Source organism: Homo sapiens, chromosome 11 (assembly GCF_000001405.40).
Source record: "Homo sapiens chromosome 11, GRCh38.p14 Primary Assembly".
Taxonomy (NCBI): domain Eukaryota; kingdom Metazoa; phylum Chordata; class Mammalia; order Primates; family Hominidae; genus Homo; species Homo sapiens.
Window position 1 is genome coordinate 129970715 of NC_000011.10, and position 19583 is coordinate 129990297.

The window sequence follows — 19583 nt, forward strand, 5'->3', positions numbered from 1 at the left end:
TTTGTATTTTTAGTAGAGACGGGGTTTCACGATGTTGGCCAGGTTGGTCTCGAACTCCTGACGTCAGGTGATCCACCCACCCTGGCCTCCCAAGTTGCTGGGATTACAGGCATGAATCACGGCACCCGACCCCCCTTCTTTTTTAAGTGTTAAATGAAGCAAGATTAGGTAGTCCAAAGTTTTCCACCAACTTTTTTGCCAGTTGTTCACTTGTCACATCCTAAAGCTGACTAAAATTGTGTCCGAAATTGGTGGGTTCTGGGTCTCACTGACTTCAAGAATGAAGCCACGTACCCTCGCGATGAGTGTTACAGCTCTTAAGGTGGCACGTCTGGAGTTTGTTCCTTCTGATGTTCAGATGTGTTTGGAGTTTCTTCCTTCTGGTGGGTTCATGGTCTCGCTGGTTCAGGAGTGAAGCTGCAAACCTTCGCGGTGAGTGTTACAGCTCTTAAAAGCAGTGTGAACCCAGAAAGAGCAGTAGCAAAATATATTGCAAAGAGCAAAAGAACAAAGCTCCCACGGTGTGGAAGGGGACCCGAGCGAGTTGCCACCGCTAGCTCGGGCAGCCTGCTTTTATTCTCTTATCTGGCCCCACACGCATCCTGCTGATTGGTAGAGCCCAGTGGTCTGTTTTGACAGGGTGCTGATTGGTGCATTTACAATCCCTGAGATAGATACAAAGGTTCTCCACGTCCCCATCAGATTAGTTAGATACAGAGTGTCGACACAAAGGTTCTCCAAGGCCCCACCAGAGCAGCTAGATACAGAGTGTCCATTGGTGCACTCAAAAACCTTGAGCTAAACACAGGGTGCTGATTGGTGTGTTTACAAACCTTGAGCTAGATACAGAGTGCCCATAGGTGTATTTACAATCCCTGAGCTAGACATAAAGGTTCTCCAAGGCCCCACCAGAGCAGCTAGATACAGAGTGTCGATTGGGTGCACTCACAAACCCTGAGCTAGACATAGGGTGCTGATTGGTGTGTTTACAATCCCTGAGGTAGACATAAAGACTCTCCACGTCCCCACCAGACTCAGGAGCCCAGCTGGCTTCACCCAGTGGATCCCGCACCGGGGCTGCAGGTGGAGCTGCCTGCCAGTCCCGTGCCGTGCGCTCGCATTCCTCAGCCCTTGGGTGGTCGATGGGACTGGGTGCCGTAGAGCAGGGGGCGGCGCTCGTCGGGGAGGCTTGGGCTGCACAGGAACCCACGGAGGGGGTGGGAGGCTCAGGCATGGCGGGCTGCAGGTCCCGAGCCCTGCCCCGCGGGAAGGCAGCTAAGGCCCGGTGAGAAATCGAGTGCAGCGCCAGTGGGCCGGGACCCAGTACACCCTCCGCAGCCACTGGCCCGGGTGCTAAGCCCCTCACTGCCCGGGGCGGCAAGGCCGGCTGGCTGCTCCGAGTGTGGGGCCCGCCAAGCCCACGCCCACCCAGAACTCCAGCTGGCCCGCAAGCGCCGCGCGCAGCCCCGGTTACAGCTGGCGCCTCTCCCTCCACACCTCCCTGCAAGCTGAGGGAGCTGGCTCTGGCCTTGGCCAGCCCAGAAAGGGGCTCCCACAGTGCAGCGGTGGGCTGAAGGGCTCCTCAAGTGCCGCCCAAGTGGGAACCCAGGCAGAGGAGGTGCCGAGAGCGAGCGAGGGCTCTGGGGACTGCCAGCACGCTGTCACCTCTCAAAATGACTGGCAACAATAGCAACAAAGAGTTAACAAAAATTTGTGAGACTGAAAATTCAAAATTAAACAAATTCTATCCTTGATTTCTCTTAAATGAAAGACACCTCTGTCCAGCTCTAGAACACTAGTGTTTTAGGGAGCATAGTTTGAGAACAGATCATCTAGAACAACTTCTATTTTATAAAATCACGTCAAGTTCACAGCAAGCAAAAGGAAACACCAGAATCAGAGGCTGAGACTTCTAACACTCTTACCCCAGGTCACAGTGTGGCCACAGGACTGATCATGGAAAGGATTTAGAGGAGTCTTCAACAAGAGATTCCTGATTCTGCATAACACTGTTTATCTTAGCTTTGTCTTTCTTTCTTTAAGCTTGTGGCCCTTGACTGCCCGCTTAGAGAAACAGTCCTGCACTCTGTAGCCCAAGTCAAGGAAAAGTGCTTTACCAGCCATCACAATAGTCCAGCAAAGTCAGCAGCCTCTGTTTAAGAGCTAATGAGATTCGAGAGGGCAGTGATCTGGACATAAAACTCGTCCTTCAAAAACCCAGGCCTTTGAAGGTGGTCCCCTGGCAAGAGACGAGCCCTCCCTCCTTGTTACAAAAATGTTTTTCACTTTTTTAGCGCCTTTTTCTTCCTTTATTTGTATTTTCTCTTTCTTTCTTTTGTCTAAGATAAAAGTTCTAGGATACAAATTAGCTCATTACAAAATACCCACTTTGAAAATTTTAGAGTAATCCTATGAGATTATAAAAGCTCCGAATAACAACCACATATCAAAGAAAAGCTTGATGCAGAGTAGTGAAGGAGAAAAGCAGTGTCACAGGAAGGCCCAAATTAGCAACCTGCTAGGGTAAAAAGTGGTGAAAATTAAGCAATGTCTGTTAACAGTTCTATGCAAATGTTCAAGGTCTGTGAACCAAAACCAGTGAATTAAGTTAAGCTAGTTGGCAATGAATGAGGACCTGCATAACTGAGCTAAGGAAACCAATGAGGTAAGAGGCACCAAGGTAGAACCTTCCCAGCAAGAACTGGCACAAGACAAAAGACAACTTAGATATGAATTAAATTCCAGATGCAGATTTTAATTTATTTGATGACATTTTGAATGTATACTCCCTTTAAAACTATGTTACACACCATCTTTTGATTCCCAGAAAAATAGAAAAGCATATTTACTCATAATTAAATTGAAATAAATTACGCTGAAATAAAATAAAAATTTAAGCAACCATCTGTTACAATGTCGGTGATTTAAAAAAGCAAGGAAACAAAACTAAATGCATTTAGACATACCAATTACCCCTCTGTGAAATAAGCTCATCAAAGTCCCTTTTCAGCTCTATAATTGAGATGAAACGATTTTTTAAAAAAATCATGGTACTTGAAGAAACAGAACAGTGTAAGATAAAACATCGATGAAGACTCTTATGTAGATATAAAGATGAGACTTGTATCCAGAAGACTTGCATCCAAAATTCTAAACATTTTGGAGCTAGGTAGGACAAGAACTATGTTTGATTTGACTTTGAACTACAACATTCCTCTGCCTTGCCTAGCTCAAGGCATTCCAGCATTCTGCATTCCCAGCGCGCTCAGCAGTGCAGAGTGGAGGGGCCAGGCACCCACTGGAGCCACCCAGCCCGGCTTCCAGCCCCGCCTCCAGCTCACCAGCAGCTGACCTGGTACGAATTGCCCAGCCTCTCTGTGGCTCAACTCTATCACCTGTAATATGGAGACAAGAACAGTATCTCCTTCATAGAGGTGTAAACAGGACTAAATGATATATTATTTGCAAAGTGCTGAGAACAGAGGCTAGACTATGGTAAGCACTTATATATGTTACATGAAAGAAATAATGACCAGGGTCATTTCTGAGACACAAATTTTAAATGGTAGAGCAAGAAGAAACTAGGGGAAAGAAAGGAATACAAAAGGAAAGAGAAGAAAAGAGAGGAAAGCAATGGAAAAACAGAAGGAAAAAAGAGTATTCCAGAAGAGAGCAATAACATTTAGAGGAAATGACATGAGAGGACAAGAGGAATAAATGGAGTGGGAGTGGGGAAGAGTCTAAGAAAGAAGGAACTGGATAAACAGTGAACAGAATAAGTAGAAGGTGAGGGGGAGGGAGAGAAAGAAAAACTAAAGAAAAGAGAAACATGAATCAGATTGTTCTGAGCTAACTAGATAGGAATTAGAAGTGACAGTGGAAGAGTCTAAAAGATCATTCCCATGAGCAAGACCTCCTGAGTTGAAATCCACTCCACAGTTACATCTGAGGACCAGGATATGGGGACACTTGCTGGGCGCCCACCATTCTCAGACGCCTGAAGACACGAACGGCACCTCAATAAAGTACCCGATATGCTGCTCTTCAAAATGCCAACGGTGCCCATCCATTGAGGAATGGGTCAACAAACTGTGGTCTGTACATACAGCGGAATATTATTCAGCCTTAAAAAGGAAGGGAATTCTGGCACATGCTTCAACAGGGAGGAACCTTGAGGACATTACGCAAAGTGAGATAAGCCAGACGTTAAAGGGTAAGTAACGTATGGCTCCACTTACATGAGGTAACTGGAATAGGCAACTCCAGAGACAGAACGTAGAACAGTGGTTACCAGGGGCCAGGGCAGGGGAACAGGGAGTTATTGTTCAATGGGGATGGAGTTTCCTTGGGGTAAAAGACTTTGGAAAATGGGTGATGGTGATGGGTGCACAACAATGTGAATGTACTTAATGCCACTAAATTTTACACTAGGCCGGGCATAGTGGCTCACGCCTGTAATCCCAGCACTTTGGGAGGCCGAGGCAGGTGAATCACCTGAGGTCAGGAGTTCGAGACCAGCCTGGCAAACACAGTGAAACCCCATGTCTACTAAAAATACAAAAATTAGCCGGGTGTGGTGGCAGGCGCCTGTAGTCCCTACTCGGGAGGCTGAGGCAGGAGAATTGCTTGAACCTGGGGAGGCGGAGGTTGCAGTGAGCTAAGATCATGCCATTGCACTCCAGCCTGGATAACAGGCGCGAATCTCCATCTCAAAAAAAAAAAAATTTACACCTAAAAATAGTTAAACGGTAAATTTCACTTTCTGTATATATTTTACTGCTATAAAAAACGTAAATAAAAACTGCTGGAGATGGCCCTGGTAGTAATGACCATCCCACTCCCCCATGGTGGGAATGGGACTTCACTGGCACCTTTCCCATCATGACAATGAATAAACCCTTGCCACCCCAGGGCCACTACTGCCCACATTCAAGGCAAACCCTGCCTCCCACTGGCCCTTCCTCTGCCCAGCCACACTGACACCATTCCCTTCCTGCCACCACTGCACTCTCTCCCAGCTCAGGTCAGCAGAGCTGGTCTCCAACCCACCGCCCTCGAAGTGCTGGGAGCCAGTCACTGCTCCTGGAACAGGGTGGCTGCACCAAGTGCCTTCCAAGGTGCCTGGCACATAGGAGGTGAACAATCAATAGCAGTGACTGCTGTTATTGCCAGTGTGCTATCAAACCCCAGTCTCACTATCCCACTTCCTAAGCTGGTGTATTTAGTTGTACTAGAGGTGGGGTCATGGGGAAGAGGCAATGATATTTGGTCTCCTACAGTACCTCATCCACGCATGGTATCTCCAAGGTTTCTCAGGGTGAAGGGAAGCAGAGCAACTAGAGGGTGACATGGAAGGTCCTGTCCAGTTCACCAATGGGTCTCTTCCTGTTAGAGGCCTGATCAGCACAGGCCATCCTGTGGACTATTCCAGCTGCTCCTCTTCTTCCCCACCCCTTGGCTTCCTGAGCATAAACTCTCAGGCTCTGATTCTAGGTTTCCTTCTTGGATCTCTGACCCGATTCACCTTGGGTGTTGCTCCATGCCCTTTATACAAGATTTGTGAAACTCCATACCCCACTGGCCAACTAGAACCCACCATCAAGCAAAGGCTGTCGCTCTGGCACTGTGTCCTCAAGCATGGCCAAGGGGAAGAGAGTAGGTACAGGACCCATCAGAGGGACGGGATGTGAGGACAGCCAACATGCACTGAGTGCTTACCGTGTGCTAGGCCCTGGTCTAAGCAGCTAACATTCATCAGTTCAGTCCATTTAATGGTCACGACAACTCAATGAAGTTGTTTAAAACTTATGTTCAGAAAAGAAATGACAGCACAGAACAATAAGCTAGTGCTCTACTCCGAGCAGCTGCTGATGACCACATGACTGAGAGATGTCACATTAAATCACAGAGCTACAAAATCAGACCAAGAAGAATGAAAATAAAGAGCTTCTATTATGTTCATTCACTTGGAAGGAACGTAATAGAAGGAGAGAGTTTCCATTTAACTGATTGCTGGAACAAATAATTTTAGAACTCAGAAAAGAAAAAATAATGGACTTAGTTCTAAATGGTGAATAGAAACTGGCAGCAGAATTAGTGATGAACAAATAACAAAATAATACAAATTCCAGCACAAATCCCCATATGAGATGGGGAAGCCCAAATCCTCCATAACATGTTTCTCAAATTTTAAAAGATTAACAACCAACCATTAGCACTCCTGAGAAAAGATAAAAATGACTAGTTATGAAAAACACAACTCCCTTGACCTTGCCTGGCAAGGTTCGTTCCAAGAGCCCTCCCAGATGCTGTTTCACGTGCCCCTCACCCCCACCACGTGACACAGCCAAGGTGGCCTTCTTCTCTACACCTTACAGAGAAAGAAGACAGCAACGTCACTTGCTCATTCCACTGTCCAGGGTCTGGCCAGCCTGAGTCCCTCCAGCAGACAGAGCACAGTGCCCCTCTTATCGTACCACTGTGACCCCAGCTAAAGAGCTACTAAAGCCTAGAAATTGGAGCAGAATAACATGACTAAAATACACACACACACACACACACACACACACACACACACACACACACATTGAGATGCAGTCTCACTCTGTCGCCAGGCTGGAATGCAGTGGCGCGATCTCGGCTCACTGCAATCTCCGACTCCCTGGTTCAAACGATTATCCTGCCTCAGCCTCCCCAGTAGCTGGGATTACACACACCCGCCACCATGCCCAGCTGATTTTTGTATTTTTAGTAGAGACTGGGTTTCACCATGTTGGCCAGGATGGGCTCGATCTCCTGACCTCATGATCTGCCCGCCTCGGCCTCCCAAAGTGCTGGGATTACAGGCGTGAGCCACTGCGCCCAGCCTAACATTTTTTTTAATTCCACTAAGAAGTAAACTAAACGTACCTTTAGTTAGGGGAAATATGCCTGAGGAACTGAAGTAAAGAAGCAGGGAGGCCAGGCACGGTAGCTCATGCCCATAATCCCACCACTTTGGGAGCATGAGGAGGGTGGATGACTTGAGCCCAGGAGTTCGAAACCAGCCTGAACAACATGGGGAAACCCCACTTTTACAAAAAATGCAAAAAACTAGGCAGGCATGGTGGTGTGCACCTGTTGTCCCAGCTAAGTCGGGAGGCTGAAGTGGGAGGATCGTTTGAGCACGGAAGGTTGAGGTTCCAGTGAGTGCGGTGAGATCGCACCACTGCACTCCAGCCTGGGCGACAGAGTGAGAGACCCTGTCTTTAAAAAAAAAAAGAAAGAAAGAAAGAAAGCAGGAAAACCAGGCTTTCATAAAGGATTTCAACAATTTTTTTTTTTTAAGAAAAGCTAATAAGCCTTTGATTAGGTTCCAAATAAAATTGTTTTGCTTTTCGGTTAAGCCATTATGGATGTGGGGTATTTCTACATAAACAGAGAGGTCTGAAGATAAAGATAAAAGAAATGAGGCTGTGATAATGCTGGGACACTCCAGGCGTGTCTAGGGGCCACTCACATTGACCAGTTGTTTCAAGTGTGGACAGTGAGGCACATGATGGAGCTCTGGAAGCTCCAAGGCACAGGACTCCTCCAGATGATGTGAGTTTATGCCACTGGGAAAAAACTCCAAAAAAGCCTTCAGAAACTGGGTGAGCAATGGCAGATACATTTCAGAGAAAGTCATGCTTCTGATATGAGACTGAGCTATGTGTTACAGTCTAAAACCTAGTGTGTAGCATGTCCTAAAGAAATGTTCCTGACTTGTCTCTGGCTGTCATCAAGGAAGATACTGTATAACCAGAAGAGAACTGAACTAAGGTTTCAAGGCTTCAAAACCAACCAACCGGGTGAGAAAACACAGGATGACAGAAACAAGTCCAGCAGTGAAGCCCGTCGGGCAGGTCTGAGACGGTGACCTCCGCCTGCTTCTCCCTCTCCATGAAGTGTCCCTTTGCCCTGCCACTTCCCATGCAGAAATCTTCACACCAGGCAGTAATGCCTCCTACTTTCCTTGTGCACAAAGGGCTGCAGAGACTATCAGCTCAGGTTTCCCATCAGGGTGTGGCACACCTTTCTTCATGCCTCCAAGTAGGCACGCAAGCAAATCTTTCTTCATGTTCACCCAAGAAATGTGGACTTTTCCCTAATTCAATTAAGAACTTTTCATGTACCAAAAAACAAAGACCGATCCTCCCATCCCATTTGAGAGTTTGTTAGCGATGCATCAGGGCCCCATCAGGTGCTTCAAAGGGGCTCCTGCCATTCACTCAGAACGAAGAAACATGAGGCTGAGACACTTGTTGGGGGTCCTAGCCCGACAATCCTACATGAAAATCCTTGAGAGTTCAAAAGGAACCAACATTCAGTGCGAGTTCTAAAGAATGATAAACCTTGATGTTTGCCTTTTTCTTTTTATAAAGAGTAGCAGCTGGTTGGCTGGTAAAATGTGAAGGTAATTTCACAAAGAAATCTGTCAGGAGTTCTCTGTTCTATCCTCACAAGATAGTAGGTGGGAACCTCAAAGCACCAGAGTGCAGCACGTGCCTGCAAAAAAACTGCACAAATCCTAAGCGTCCGACCTGAGAGCTGCTCTCAGAGGAAATGCCTCTGGCTCGAGGAGCAGAACTCCACTAACACCCAGAAGCTCCTGTGCCCTCTCCCCAGGATACCCACCATCCTCCCCAGGATCCACCCAGCCTCTGGTGGGCTGCAGAGGGCAGAGCAGCGCAGTTCGGAGCTCACCTGAGGCTGGTTTGCAGTCTTTCTGACTGTAAGACTCAGTCAGCTCCAGGGTGTGACCTTCCAGGGTTGCAAGGGAGACTGTGAGGTGCATCCTAGAGGTCCCTCTCCTTGGTGGATCTTCTACTCCAGTTCCTGTCTCCCCAGCAACTTGAAACTACTGAAAACCCCGCTCTTCTATCCCACTGTGTTTTGACTTGTTTTTTTGACCAGCACAGTCTGGTAAGCAAAGCTCTCGAGGAGAAACCAGTGCTGGACTTGAGGCTCACATCCTCATCCCTTCCCAGCCTCGGATTCTGCCCCTCCTGTTCTAACTGCACGTCCCCATCCCTTCCTGGCCTCGGATTCTGCCCCTCCTGTTCTAACTGCCTTCACAGCCCTTCAGGCCCATCCTTTACCTCCTCCGCCCCAGGAGATCACCTGGAGCTCTGCAGGCTTCTCTGCCTCTCGGCAGCCCCTTCCGACCTTCAGTTCCTTAGGCATATGTCCCCTAACTAAAACTGTGTTGATTTTACTTCCAAATGGAATTTAGTTGCCAGGAAAATGTAAATTAAAGCCACAATGAGATGCACTTTCCATGCACTAGGATGGCTTGAATCAAAAAGTCACATAAGTGTGGCCAGGATATGCTGAGATCAGAGCCCTCACAGGCTGCTGGTGGGAAGGTAAAGGGTGCAACCACTTTGGAAAACAAGCTGGCAGTTCCTGGAACAATTAAACATCATAGTTACCGTACGACCAAGCAATTCCACTGCTAGGTACAGACCCTGGAGAAAGGAAAACATGAATCTACACAAAGACTTAGACACAACGTTTATGGCAGTGTTATTTATCATAGCCAAAAGGGGGAAACAACCCAAGTGTGAATTAATGCAGGAGTCTCCGACCTTGACCCCCGGGGCCGCACACAGGTACCAGTCCTGTGGCCTAGGAGGACAACAGCAGCGGTGGACTCTCATAGGAGCAGGGACCCTGTTGTGAACCGTGCATGTGAGGGATCAAGATGCTCACTCCTTTTGAGAATCTAACTAATGCCTGATGATCTGAGGCATTAGTTAGATTCTCAGCTTCATCCCAAAACCATCCCCAACCCCTTGTCCATGGAAAAATTGTCTCCCACAAAACAAGTCCTGGTTGGGGACCGTGGCATTAGTGGACAAATGCATAAACGAAATGTGGTATATCCATACAATGGAATATTTATTATTTGACCACAACAAGGAACAAAGTATTGATCCATGCTACAACATAACTGAACTCTGAAACATTATGCTAAGTGAAAGAAGCCAGTCATAAAAGACCACATATTTTATTTTTAAAGTCCAAACCAGGGAAATCTATAAAGACAGGAAGTAGATTAGTGATTTCTTAGGGTCAAGAGAGGATGGGAAGATGGAGAGATAGCTAAAGGGTATGACATTTCTGGTTTTTTTTTTTTTTTTTTTTTTTTTTTGAGACAGAGTTTCACTCTTGTTGCCCAGGCTGAAGTGCAGTGGCACGACCTTGGCTCACTGCAACCTCCTCCTCCCAGGTTCAATTGATTCTCCTGCCTCAGCCTCCCGAGTAGCTGGGATTACAGGCACGCACCACTAGGCCCAGCTAATTTTGTATTTTTAGTGCAGATGGGGTTTCACCATATTGGTCAGGCTGGTCTCCAACTCCTGACCTCAGGTGATCCGCCTGCCCGGGCCTCCCAAAGTGCTGGAATTACAGACGTGAGCCACTGTGCCCGGGCTATGATGTTCCTTTTTCAGGTGATGAAAATGTGTCAAAATTGTTTGTGATGATGGTTGTACATACCTATAAGTACGCTAAAAAAACAGTGAATCGGGGAAAAATTCTGACAGTACAGAATTGTTTGAAATAAAAAGTAAAAGTTACCCTCTCTCCCACCCCAACCCATTCCCTAGATATTGCCATTGCTGACGTTTTAGTGTCTGTCTTTCCACTGATCTATCATATATAAACACAACACACATAAACTAGCTGTCTTTATATACAAATGTACTCATGGAGAAATGTAATCATACTTTTTTTTCCATTATCTTAAATATAGAAATATACTTTAACTTAACAGTATGCTGTGGACACCTTTTCAGACACTGAAAGTCTCTGCAGTAATCTCATTGCTTTCAACGTACAGATGTGCCAATCATTTATTTAAATACTCCCCTGATGGGCCAGGTGCGGTGCCTCATGACTGCAATCCCAGCACTTTGGGAGGCCGAGGTGGGTAGATCACCTGAGGTCAGGAGTTCAAGACCAACCTGGTCAACATGGCGAAACCCCGTCTCTACTAAAAATACAAAAATTAGCCAGGCATGGTGGCGGGCACCTGTAATCCCAGCTACTCAGGAGGCTGAGCCAAGAGAATTGCTTGAACCTGGGAGGTGAAGGTTGCAGTGAGCCGAGATCGCATTACTGCACTCTAGCCTAAGCAACAAAAGCTAAATTCCATCTCAAAAAAAGTATAATAAATAAATAAATATTCCCCTGATGGAAATTTTCTTTTTTATCCTCATAAAAAAATTATAAAATATGGCCAGGTGCAGTGGCTCACAGCTATAATTCCAACACTTCTGGAGGCCGAGGCTGGTGGATCACTTGAGCTTGGGAGTTCAAAACCAGACTGGACAAGATAACAAAACCCCGTCTCTACAAAAACTACAAAAATTTAGCTGGGTGTGGTGGCATGTGCCTGTGATCCCAGCTACTCCGGAGGCTGAGGTGGGAGGACTGCTTGAGCCTGGGAGGTCAAGGTTGCAGTGAGCTGTGATGGTACCACTGCACTCTCCCTGAGCAACAGAGCAAGACCCTGTCTCAAAAAAATGTGTGTGTCTGTGTGTGTGCGCGCGTGTGTGTGTATACACAGACTGGAGTGCAGTGGTGCAATCTCAGCTCACTGCAACCACTGCCTCCCGGGCTCAAGCAATTCTTCTGCCTCAGCCTCCCAAGTAGCTGGGATTACAGGTGCCCACCACCTCGCCTAGCTAATTTTTTGTATTTTTAGTAGAGACGAGGTTTCGCCAATTTAATTATTTATGATGTAGAAAGATACATATACATTCACACACAAAGAAATGTCTTAGGGAAGAGTCACCAAAATGTTAACCACGGTTACCTTTGAAAAGTTAAATTTGAGTAACTTTACATCTTTATAACTTTTGATGGTTTCTGAATACTTTTCAATGGTATTCAAACTGTATTTTCTTAATAATCAAAAAGCTATTTTTAGCCAGGAGCAGTGGTTCACGCCTATAATCCCAGAACTTTGGGAGGCCAAGGTGGGAGGATCACTTGAGCTGAGGAGTTCAAGATCAGCCTGGGCAACATGGCAAGACCTCCCCCCAACCATCTCTACAAGAAATACAAAAATTAGCTGGGCATGGTGGTGCACACCTAGTGGTCCAAGCTACTCAGGAGGCTAGGGTGGGAGGATCACTTGTGCCTCACAGGCAGAAGTTGCAGTGAGCTGAGATGGCACCACTGCACTCCAGCCAGGGCAACAAGCAAGACCTTGTCTCAAAATAAAAGTCTTTAAAAAATTTTTTTTTTCTTTGAGACAGTGTCTCATTCTGTCGTCCAGGCTGGAGTGCAGTGGCACGATCTCAGCTCACTGCAACCTCCGCCCCCCAGGTTCAAGTGATTCTCCTGTGTCAACCTCCCGAATAGCTGGGATTACAGGTGCGCACCACCACGCCCAGCTAATTTTTTGTATTTTTAGTAGGGACAAGTTTTCGCCATGTTGGCCAGACTGGTCTCGAACTTCTGATCTCTGGTGATCCACCTGCCTCTGCCTCCCAAAGGGCTGGGATTACAAGCATGAGCCACCACGCCTGGTCTAAAAATCTTTTTATTTCTCCTTTTTTTTTTTTTTTAGACGGAGTCTCGCTCTGTCACCCAGGCTGGAGTGCAGTGGCGCGATCTCAGCTCACTGCAAGCTCTGCCTCCCAGGTTCATGCCATTCTCCTGCCTCAGCCTCCCGAGTAGCTGGTACTACAGGTGCCCCCCACCGCGCCCAGCTAATTTTGTTTTTGTATTTTTAGTAGAGACAGGGTTTCACCGTGTTAGCCAGGATGCTCTCGATCTCCTGACCTTGTGATCTGCCGGTCTCGGCCTCCCAAAGTGCTGGGATTACAGGCGTGAGCCACCTCGCCCGGCCTAAAAATCTATTTTTATTTTGACAAAATATTACACTGTAATGGTTCACTCCTAGTGAGGTAATTTTTCCAGAGTTAGCTTAGTGTATACAGGAGAGGAGAAGGCTTAGGATGGAATAGACTAACTGAAAGGAGTGAAACTGAAGAGACCTTTGTTCCCACTTCCTAAGTATGGCACTAGACTAAACTATAAGAAGAACATACTCCTCAAGGTAGCCTAGAGGAAAGCAACATGAACATTGCTATTGAATCAGATTCCGAAGTCCGCCATTATGTTCCCTCCTGTGACCACTGTCCTCTCACCGACTCTCTGCCATACCCACACCGGAGGGAACCCGACATGAATGCTGCCGGATCTCCCTTCAAATTCAGGACCACTGATCTCAAAGCAGCACTCAACACTGGCTCCCACGCCCATTCTGCCTTGGAATGAACTTTGGATTCTTGTCTCCAAAAAGGACTACTCCTTTCCCTCCTCTTTCCCCCTAGGCTTCCCCTCCACCATCCTGACTCCAGCTGATGCCTCACGCTTCCCTGGGAAAAGAGAGCCCCTCAGGCAGGTATTCCCTCAGCTCCCACATCAGCACCCTGTCCTCACCGCACTCGCTCAGCGGAGGTGGCCTTCCCACTGGGTGGCTGGCACCAGGCCTTCTGGGACCCTCCAGGCCTTCTCTGCGCACCAGCTAGCATGTGCTAGAATCTATCTTTATTAGAATAAAAAACTGTGTACTTTTCTAGACTTATATTTCAACAAAATCTTTACATTAAACAAAACCTTCCCTTGAGCCCGCGTTCCTGCTCACCTACCTGCCATCTGTCTGCTCTTCCCCACATGCACTGAGACTCTGCAGCACACACTGAAACTCTGCAGCGCGGCCTGCAGTCCAGCCCCACGGCCTCACTGTCCCCTCCCTGCCTCGGCCTCGGCCCACCCTACTCGGGCTTCTATCCCCACCACTCCCTGAGACGGCACATTCTAGAGTGTCTACTGCAAAATCCAGCGCTCCCCCACAGCTCTCATCCTCCCTGACCTCACATGGCACTCACACCCTCTGCAAATCTCTTCCCTTCATTCCTGATACTACGCCTTCCTGATTTTTCTCCCATCTCCCTGGCAACACCTCTGCAACCTCTTCTGGTGGCTTGACCTCCACAGGTCGCGCTGCTGGGCTCTCTTGGGTCCTCTTTCTTGTTTTTGGCTTCAAACTCTCCTTCCGCTCATCCAGCCTTTAGGGTGGCAACAGCCATCTCCTCTGCGAGGATGCTTTCTCCGCCACTGTCCACCACCTACCTCCTTCTCATTATCCAGATCTCAGGGTCAATGCTACCTCCTCAGTAGGCTTTTTTGATCATCCTTTCTCATGGGATTCTGCTGTAATACTCTGCAAAGCATTTACCGTCAGTTAGGCGAGTTCAGTATGTGTGCACTACCTGTCCTCCTGCTGGAAGGCCGCTGCAGGAGCATCACCTCACTGGAGCTGATGAGGGAGTGTCCCCAGCACCTGCAACCATGACCGGCCCAGGAGGCCATCTGGAATGAATATAGTGCAGTCTTCTGCTTAGGAGCTAATTTGTTACTTCCCAAAACCCTCTTAGGATGAACTCTCATGAACAAAAAACAGTATTGCCATTAAAAATAATGGTATTTAACTGTTCCACAGCTAAGAAAGTGTGTGTGTGTGTGTACATACATATATATAGATATGTGTATATATATCTCAATGTTTATAACTGAATTTTAATGAGCTGAAAAGAACAAACAACACTATGGGGGGAAAATGCAATTGATAGATGACATGATCTCGTACAATACAACTGTCAAGGGACATGGAACTCAGCTGCTCCCAAGCCACACAAAATCAAAACCAGTCTTTGTGAATGCAAAGAACGCACTGTAAGTCAAATATGGTATTGGGCAGGGCACAGTGGCTCATGCCTGTAACCCCAGCACTTTGGGAGGCCGAAGTGGGAGGACTGCTTGAGCTCAGGCGTTTGAGACCAGCCTGGTCAGTAGGGCAAGACCCTGTCTCTACAAAAAGTTAGCCAGGTGTGGTGGCATGCATCTGTAGTTCCAGCTACTCAGGAGGCTGAGGTAGGAGGATCACTTGAGCCTGGGAGGCAGTTTGCAGTGAGCCGAGATTGTGCCACTGCACTCCAGCCTGGGTGACAAAGACAAACCCTGTCCAAAAAAAAAAAAAAAAAAAAAAAAAAAAAATATATATATATATATATATATATGTATATATAGTAATAAAAGAAATTCTTTAATAAGTCCAATTCTTATAACCCAAGGTATAGATCTTGAGGTTCATATGTAGTCTCTGAATATTTTCATATTCATGAGCTGTGGCCCTCCCATACCAATGCTGCAAGATTAGTCCCAGTGCTTCCGTTCTTAGTGTACACAGAGGTGTTGGGCTCGTGGTGGATTAACAGCAGGCTCATGGTGGTGTGGCAGAGTCTGGGGTGTGTGGTTCTGCAACCAGAATGTAGATCTCCTCCTCGCCCTGTGCCTCCAACCTGTATTAGTTAATGGAGGGGGCAGAGGCTTAGGATGGCAACAAGAATGGTTGGAAATCACACATAGTGCTCCCTTGTGTAGCAGGCTGTGGCAAGTCCTTGTGGCTTAGGATGGCAACAAGAATGGTTGGAAATCACACATAGTGCTCCCTTGAGTAGCAGGCTGTGGCAAGTCCTTATGTCATAGCTGGGGCCTTAACATGACCTTCTAGCAGCCTGCTACTGACCAGACTTGCTCCTCCCCACCTCTAACGCTGTTGTGTGAATTTCGTTTGCTTTGGGTTTTTTTTCGAGACAGGGTCTCACTCTGTCGCCCAGGCTGGAGTGCAGTGACACAGTCTTGGCTCACTTTCAAACTCTGCCTCCCAGGTTCAAGCAATTGAACCTCAGAAACACGAGTAGCTGGGACTACAGGCGTGCAGCACCATGGCCGGCTAATTTTTTTGTATTTTTAGTAGAAACGGGATTTTGCCATGTTGGCCAGGCTGGTCTCGAACTCCTGGGCTCAAGCGATCCACCTGCCTAGGTCTCCCAAAGTGCGTGAGCCACTGCACCAAGTCTGCTGCATGACTTTGCGTGGAGGGCAACAGATCTCTAGGGTCGGGGGCCTGGATTGAGACTCCTCAACTGCCAGCTCCAGCTCCATGACCCAGGTGAGGGAAGTTACTTTTCAAGGCATCAAGACTTCATCTATAACATGGTTACAGCAGGACCAATAGTTCCAATTCCCTAAGGTAGAACTATGAAATAAATGAAGTACACTGTGCAAATGAAAACCCACACCTGGCCCATAGGAACACTCAACAGTGCTCATTGTTGTGGTTTTTGTATTTATTAATATATACTTATTAATTCTCCCTATCAATTCATGTTCATTCCCAGGGTTAAAAGGAATAAGAATAGCCAAATGAAAATAAGCACCTCAAGTTCTTGTCTGCTATTGTGCAGTCAAAATATACCTGAAATTCAAATCACACAGATTATAAACTCTCCACTAATAGGGAAGGTTTGTCCAGCTAAGAAAAATTACAGCATATTGTAGCTTCAGAATAATACTTTTATTGGCCTCAATTTCAGCAAAATATTGATCTATATCCTTTATTGTTTGGAGAGCTTCAAACAATAAAGGCAACAGCTTTCCTGCCATGTCAACAAACCACACAAAACTGCCTTTATTAATGATACTCTGGTTTCTATTATGCTTATTTTTGTAGTGCCTTTTCATCTTTTCAATTTCATTCAAAATTCTGATATGGCAACAGATAATAACCACTGTGGGTAAGGATGAGGAGAAACTGGAACCCTCATACACTACTGGTGAGAATGTAAAACACTGCTGCCAATATGGAAAACAGCCCGGCAATTCCACAGAAGACTAAACATAGACACACCAAATGACTGAGCAATTCCTCATCAAGATGTAATAAACCCAAGAGAAATAAAAGCATATGTCCCTAAAAGACTTGTACATGAATGCTCACAGTGGCATTATTCATAATAGCTAAAAAATGGAAACGATCCAAATACTCATCAACTGATAAGTGAAGAAAATATGGTATATCCATATAATGGAATATTATTTGACCATAAAAAGGAATGAAGACGCCGGGTGTGGTGGCTCACGCCTGTAATCCCAGCCCTTTGGGAGGCCGAGGCAGGCAGATCACGAGGTCAGGAGATCAAGACCATCCTGGCTAACACGGTGAAACCTCGTCTCTACTAAAAAACACAAAAAATTAACTGGGCGCAGTGGCAGGTGCCTGTAGTTCCAGCTACTCGGGAGACTGAGGCAGGAGAATGGCCTGAACCCAGGAGGCGGAGCTTGCAGTGAGCCGAGATAGCGCCACTGCAGTCTGGCCTGGGCGAAAGAGTGAAACTCCGTCAAAAAAACAAAAAAGGAATGAAGAACTGGTACATGCTACATACAACATGGATGAACCCTGAAAACATTATGCTAAGTGAAAGAAGCTAGTCACAAAGAAATACACATTGAACAATTCCATTTATGTAAAATATTATATGAAATATTAATTTGCAGAATAAGCAAATTAATAGACACAAAAAATAAACAGTGGTTGCCTAGGGATTAGGAGGAGATAGAAAAATTAATGGTGACAGCTAAATGGTTCAGGAATTCTTTTGGAGGTTATAAAAATGTTCTAAAATTGATTGTGGTGACAGTGACAGCTGCACAACTCTTTGAATGTATTAAAGCCATTGAATTGTACATTTTATTTTTAAATTTTTATCTATTTATTTGAGACCGGGTTATGAGACTGGCAATTTTTATATTGTGGGTAGAGACGGGGTTTCGCCATGTTGCCCAGGCTGGTCTCGAACTCCTGGGCTCAAGTGATTCACCTGCCTCGGCCTCCCAAAGTGCTGGGATTACAGCCATAAATCACCGCACTTGGCTGAACCATATACATCTTAAATAAGTGAACTGCATGGTATGTAAATTTTATTTCAGTAAAGCTGTTCTTAGAAAAAAAAAAAAGAGGAGATGTTAAGTCAATGCAAACTTTTTTTTTTGAGACGGAATCTCGCTCTGTTGCCTGGGCTGGAGTGCAGTGGTGCAATCTCGGCTCACTGCAAGCTCTGCCTCCCAGGTTCACGCCATTCTCCTGCCTCAGCCTCCCGAGTAGCTGGAACTACAGGCGTCCGCCACCACACCCAGCTAATTTTTCGTATTTTTAACAGAGACGGGGTTTCACCGTGTTAGCCAGGATGGTCTCGATCTCCTGACCTCGTGATCCGCCCGCCTTGGCCTCCCAAAGTGCTGGGATTACAGGCGTGAGCCACTGCGCCCGGCCAAGTCAATGCAAACTTTCTAGAAATATCCAGAGGCAAGAGAAACTGAGGGCATGCTTAGGGACCAGTAACTATGAGAGAGACAAGCCTCAAACAGTAGTAAGGATGGGGCTATAAAAGACCACAGGGAAAGTAGAAGAATTTAAACTTTATTCAATTGGTCTACAGTTCCCACACTTCATGAACTGGTTGCACCAGAGTAACATAGAAAGCTAGGTGAAAGACAAATTCCAGGCCAGCACAGTGGCTCACTCTGTAATCCCAGCACTTTGGGAGGCTGAGGGGGGATGATGGCTTTAAGCCCAGGAGTTCGAGGTTGCAGTGAGCGGTGATCATGCCACTGCACTCTACCCTGGCCAACAGCAAGACCCTGCCTCTGGGAGGGAAAAAAAAAAGTCATTGAGCATGCATGTTTCTCAGCTATGAATAATGAATTTAGAAAGCTTCAAGCACACATCCTCCAGCTCCCTTCTGAACAGCAGTATTCGGTCACAAGACAGCTGGTGGGGGATACAGATACAATGTAAAACCCTGTTTCACCCATGCACCCAACACTATTTAGCCCCAATATCTCAAGCTCTTTTATTGAATTAGCCAGTGCAGTAATTAAGTAGGAGACTTTCAGGTGGGTCTTATGTGGCCTGAAAAGCTTTCCTTCCAGATGGTTCTGGGTGGTACCTATGACTCAACAAATCACAAACCCAAGTTGTTAGGATAAACTCCTGGTTAATGTATAGAGGCACAATCTTAAGTAGTAAGCTGTTTCCTCAATAAACCCATGTGCTTTAAAATGTTTTAACTAGGGAAAACTTTTTAACTTATTAAAATTGCTTAGAGGAAAATCATTCTAGAGCATAATTTTCATAATTTAACACTACAATATGTAATATAAAACAGTGTAACTACTCGTTCACTCTACGACTCCTGAAACATACAGTCTTTAGTTCAAACAGACTGAACCAAGCCTCAGACACAAGATTAAGAAGAAAACTCAGGCCGGGCACGGTGGCTCATGCCTGTAATCCCAGCACCTTGAAAGGCTGAGGCAGGTGGATCACCTGACATCAGGAGTTCGAGACCAGCCTCAGCAATATGGCGAAACCCCATCTCTATTAAAAATTCCAAAAACTGGCCAGGCATGGGGCGTGGTGGCTCACACCTGTAATCCCAGTACTTTGGGAGGCCGAGGCAGGTGGATCACAAGGTCAGGAGATCAAGACCATCCTGGCTAACATGGTGAAACTCCGTCTCTACTAAAAATCCAAAAAATTAGCCAGGCATGGGTGGCGGGTGCCTGTAGTCCCAGCTACTCGGGAGGCTGAGGCAGGAGAACAGCATGAACCCAGGAGGCGGAGCTTGCAGTGAGCTGAG

At 46.5% G+C, this 19583-nt stretch overlaps 1 protein-coding gene across 10 annotated transcripts in view, besides 1 other annotated feature; it reads right to left on the minus strand.

Moving 5' to 3' along the window:
* The window catches only part of PRDM10 (PR/SET domain 10), a 103125-nt gene that overhangs the window by 71004 nt on the left and 12538 nt on the right, over window positions 1–19583 (minus strand). The window lies entirely within an intron of this gene.
* Window positions 844–1391: an enhancer, noted in NCBI's record as "H3K27ac-H3K4me1 hESC enhancer chr11:129841453-129842000 (GRCh37/hg19 assembly coordinates)". NCBI's record gives its function as "activates a minimal SCP1, AML or CMV promoter by ChIP-STARR-seq in naive H9 embryonic stem cells {active_cell/tissue: H9 hESC(naive)}" and the evidence as "EXISTENCE:reporter gene assay evidence [ECO:0000049][PMID:30033119]".